The sequence below is a fragment of the Homo sapiens genome, chromosome X, assembly GCF_000001405.40.
Source record: "Homo sapiens chromosome X, GRCh38.p14 Primary Assembly".
NCBI classification, from domain to species: Eukaryota; Metazoa; Chordata; class Mammalia; order Primates; family Hominidae; genus Homo; species Homo sapiens.
The window spans coordinates 146,025,974-146,030,876 of record NC_000023.11 but is presented as its reverse complement, the minus strand read 5'-3'; the positions used below and the strand labels follow the sequence as shown (position 1 = coordinate 146,030,876).

Here is a 4,903-nt window from a genome sequence, read left to right as displayed (position 1 = left end):
GTCTCTTGAAGACAGCAGATACTTGGTGGATTTTTATCCATTTCACTATTCTGTATTTTTAAGTGAAGCATTTGGACCATTGACATTTAATGTTCATGTTGACATGTGAGGTCCTGTTGTATTCATTGTGCTAGTTGTTGCAGCTTTTACCCAAATTTTGATCTATTCTGTTAGCCTCACCAATGCTACCCAGCCTGCTTTCCAAGAGCTATATGAGAGTCTTAGGCCACAATCCAACCCCAATTGTGAACCCTTTACATTACAGTTTGGGACACTCTTGAAGGAGGTGATGTACCCAGAGGAATTAACTCTAGTGAATAAGCTAGATTAGGAAGGTTTCTGGGGTCCTGGTTTGGACTAGGTTCTGCTTGGAGTGAATATATGGTCAAAAATTTTTCTTGCACTGTTAACAAAATTGCTCATTCCACTGCCCAAGCCACTAGGGCACAACAGAAGTCCCTAGACTCCCTTGCTTTCATGGTCCTAGATGACCACATTGCTTTAGATTATCGCCTCACTGCACAGGGTGGTGTTTGTGCTGTTGCTAACACTTGCGGCTGTGCCTGAAGAAATATTCCAGCCAGGGTGAATTGGGAACATTTAAGGTATCAAATTAATCAAATCTCTGAAAGGGACACCTTCAGGAAGCCTCCTGGCTGGCCTTACTGGGTTAACTTTCCAATATCCATGTATTTTTAGCTGGCTTCCCCCAGGTATAGAATTTTTCTGCATTCTACCCTAAAAGTATTTATCTTCCTCATATTTGGAAGCAGTTGCCTCCTCTGTAAAATTGTTTTATCCTCTTTTAACAGATGTCTGTAAGAGACCCCTACCAGGATAGTGTTGGCCTGATTCTTGAGACTTTAAACTCACTCTAGCAGGAAACCAAAAGCAACTTAACCCAAGAGACTTTTGTTCAAATTTAAGAGGTACCTGAGTGCCTCATAAGTAAATCATCATTTATTTGAAGTAAATGGCTCTAGTGCAGTTGGCTAGTGCCCTGCCACTGGGATCCATGTGTGGGACTAGATGGACCCAGAGCAGTTTGCTGGTGCTGTGATGAAAGGAAGTGCTGTGTGCTGCCATGTTTGAGCTAATTCTTCAAGATGGATCCTGAGTGGGTCACTAGGCCTAAATTTCAAATAAAGCAAAGTGGCCATTTGCTAACTAGGAGTCACAGAGGCACTCTGAGTTCCCTGAAAACCTACACTATTTAACATTGGGACTTTCAGGACTCCCCTAAACCAACCAATTAAAGGTCACTCACGTCCACCAATCCAGGGTCTGGTGTATCAACCAATCAGAACTGAGTTTTAAGTTTCAGTACTTCATTTGCATAAACAGGCTTGATTGGGAACCTGGGCAGGTTCTTCTTACTTAAATGTTACCATCCTAGCTTTTTTTTTTTTTTTTTGAGTTTTACCCTCATCTCCCAGGCTGGAGTGCAATGGGGGGATCTCGGCTCACTGCAGCCCCCACCTCCCAGATTCAAGGGATTCTCCTGCCTCTGCCTCCCAAGTAGCTGGGATTAATGGCACCGGCAACTACACCCAGCTAATTTTTGTGTGTTTAGTAGAGATGGGGTTTCCCCATATTGGTCGTGAACTCCTGTGCTCAGATGATGCATCTTCCTTGGATGCCCAAAATGCTAGGATTACAGCTGTGAGCTACCATGCCTGGCCCCTAGTCATTTAAAATTATGAAAAATACTTATCCAGGCAAACCTATGTTATGTCTACTAAAGGAAACTAAATAGTTTTGTGTCTATATCTGTGAAAACTTTATTTGTCCTAGCAATTTTTGATTTATTTTTGTTTGGAATACATTCTTTTTTTGATGTATGATTGTGGCTGGAAAACAGGAAAGATAATTTTGTCATTTTTTGTCTTTAATTCTTGCCCCATTTCCAACCAGTTCTCATCATTTTTTCAGATGATTCCAGAAAGATAACCACCTCCCTTTGTATACTCAATTAAATATTCAATAAATTAATATCCTGCATAAACAGAGTTGTTAAGTCACCAAGAGTTACTTCTAATTGTACAACTGGCCTATCACATCATGAATTTGTATGAACTGTCAGCTCAACATAAGTTTCACAGCCATTTGCTTCATTTAACGTGTCATATCAGACACCAACTTGGTTTTCTTGGAAAGTTTGAATTTGTAAACGGCAATTACCTAGTGTTGATTATTATTATAGAACTGTTAAGAATACCATTTAGGAACTCCTGTGGTAGATTCTCCACATTTTTCCTTCATATATCTTTTTATTAATATCTTTGAACTTCATTAGGCAATAAGCAGTAGAAGAATTTTATCAAAATTCTTTAAAAAAATAGAGTTAGATATGGACAGGCAATGAATTTGAGAGAAATGAACAATATAGGGCTTGCTCATTATTATTGTGAATAAAGCCTGAATTACATAATCCCTTCAATTTTTTGTGTGTGTGCTTTTCAGGGACATTATCTTATGTATGCATGGATATCTGTGAATATATGTATACATATGTATATTTTTAGAGAAATTTAGCTTTTCAACGAGTCTTCACTCAATTATCGCTGGTTGTTTGGAGAAGGTTGTCATTCTTTTTAATCTGTCTTTTTTTCTTCCCAGTATAAACTTATCTTGTAGTTGTCACATTTTACGTATTTCTGGGTTGAGAATCATTGTCTATATTTGTAGAATTGCATTCGGTATAGATAGCCTCATTCAGTATCATAATCAGTGATTTGCAAATTTTGGGAAGTCGGAATTCTTACAATGGATTGGTAGAGCTTTACTACCAGCCCCTTCAAGATTTTCATCCTCCAACTGCAGAACCAGGAAATTATCACTAATACAAATGGGAAAGAAAATATACATGCTGATAGTTACACAGGTTGTGAATAGTAAATTAGTATGTCATTTATTTTAGGTATTCAATGTTGCATAGTCATATTATAATTACGTAGCTTCTTTGTTTTTTTCTAGGTTCCCAAAGAGTCTACAAATGTTGTCTCCTTAATCCTTGCAACGAACCTGAGCCACTGATTCAGTAAAATACTCAGTGGCACATGTTTGTTGTGAGGGTCAAAAGAGATAATCTCTACAGGCCTCATGGACACTGCAAACCATGTAAGTCATCAGTTATGTAGCTACTGCTGCTTCTCCTTCACCTCCTTGTAGTGACACTGGTAGTAGAGTAATCATAGCGGTAGAGACTGTATTACTAGTACTTTGGTAAAAATGACAGCATGTTCAATAAACACCTTTTATTAGGTCAGAGATCAGAGGACAGGTAGCAGCAAGATGAATTTCTTCTTATTTTCTGTTTTTCTGAGGTTAATGTGGATGGTTTCTGTGAGGTTAACGCTGCGTAGCAGTCTTAATGTTGTTCTATGATCACATGATTAGCTGTGATTACTGTGATTATCTCTGCATTTCTGGTTTTTTCCATTTGCAAATGTATGTTCTACACATGTCCTCAATTGCTATGACAAATCAAAACTGTTCTGTGATTATATGGTTATCTGTGATTACTGTGATTATCTCTGCATTTCTGTGTGTCTTTTTCCATTTGCAAATGTACGTTATATACATGTCCTCAATCACTGACAAATCAAAACTTTCGGATATCGTTTCTTTGGGAACAATTTGTTGTAGTTATGGAATGTGGAAATGCATATGAAAATCTGAAGTACATATCTGCCAGGCATGTAGTCATTAAGCAAATTGTCCTGTTAGTACTACTGCAAGCAGTACTAGTACTATAACTAATGGTATCAGTCCTAGTAACACTGCTATTATATTAGTACTAAGAAGGGTATCATCAGTTATCACTCATAGGATTTCATTGGTGGTTTTTCATATACATATTGTAATGTATTCTGCTTTATGATTCAATTTACATATTTTTCTAGAATACCCTGTGGATATCTATGCCCATAGAGATAATTTATTTGCAGTGCAAGCGTTGACGCCACTGCAAACACAGGTAAGGGGAAGTTAATGGTTGAAGATGACAGACTTGATTTTATTCATCCATGATTGCAAATTATAAAATATTATGTCCTTACCTGATCATTTACTTTAATTTGGCATAATTGTTGCATATAAATGGTGAATGGGACATCCTCACCTGGTTCCTGATCTTAGGAGTCAAACATAAAAATGTTAACAATTAAGTCTTCCGTTAGCTGTGCGTTTTCATAGAAGCCCTTCAACCAATTGAGGATATACTCGATTCTATGCCTGATTTGCTGTTATTATTTTTAGATATGGATGTTAGATTTAGTCACATATTTCTCCGCATCAATTGAAATGATCTCTTTTTTTCCATTTTAATCTGTTAATATTGAAAATTGCCAGGCTTTGCCTGGGTTCCCATTCTTTGCACTGGAGTCAATATTCTCTCTCTGAGAAGTTGGCAGGAGAATGGACGGACTGTTCTAATGTGTCCCCTCTCTCACAGATCACTCTACAGTGTCTGAAAGACATGTTTTTCTGTATATATCTGGTTTTTCTTTGTTTTAGACAGCAGATTAATTTGGTCACTATTCCTTCATCTGATCTGGAAACAGTAATCTCCGATTACCAAATGGTAAGAGCCTGGAAATCCTTAGACATGTAGAGGCCTATGTACAAAAAGCTCATAATTTTTACATATTACCTATTCATTACCATCTTACCTCTGATATCGTTCATTATTTTTGAGACCATTCTAGTGAGATGTTTACACCTATAGGATTTTTAAATAGTTTTCAGTAAAGCATTGCTCCACCTAATTCATCTGGTAAGGGCTTTAAGTTGTTAGCCATCCTGAAGTCTCCTCTTGGAAATGTTTGTATGTTTCGGAGATCTGAGTATACAGTTGGGCACTTCTACAGATTCGTCTTTCTTTTTGCTAAGATTCTTGTTT

The 4,903-nt window shown here is 37.4% G+C and overlaps 1 non-coding gene across 1 annotated transcript; it reads left to right on the top strand.

Annotated features, from left to right (window-relative positions):
* The first annotated feature begins 3,004 nt into the window (after positions 1-3,004).
* MIR891A (microRNA 891a) lies at positions 3,005-3,083 on the top strand. Its single transcript, NR_030581.1, has one exon. It is a non-coding gene; the product is annotated as a microRNA 891a (primary transcript).
* Positions 3,084-4,903: the final 1,820 nt, after the last annotated feature.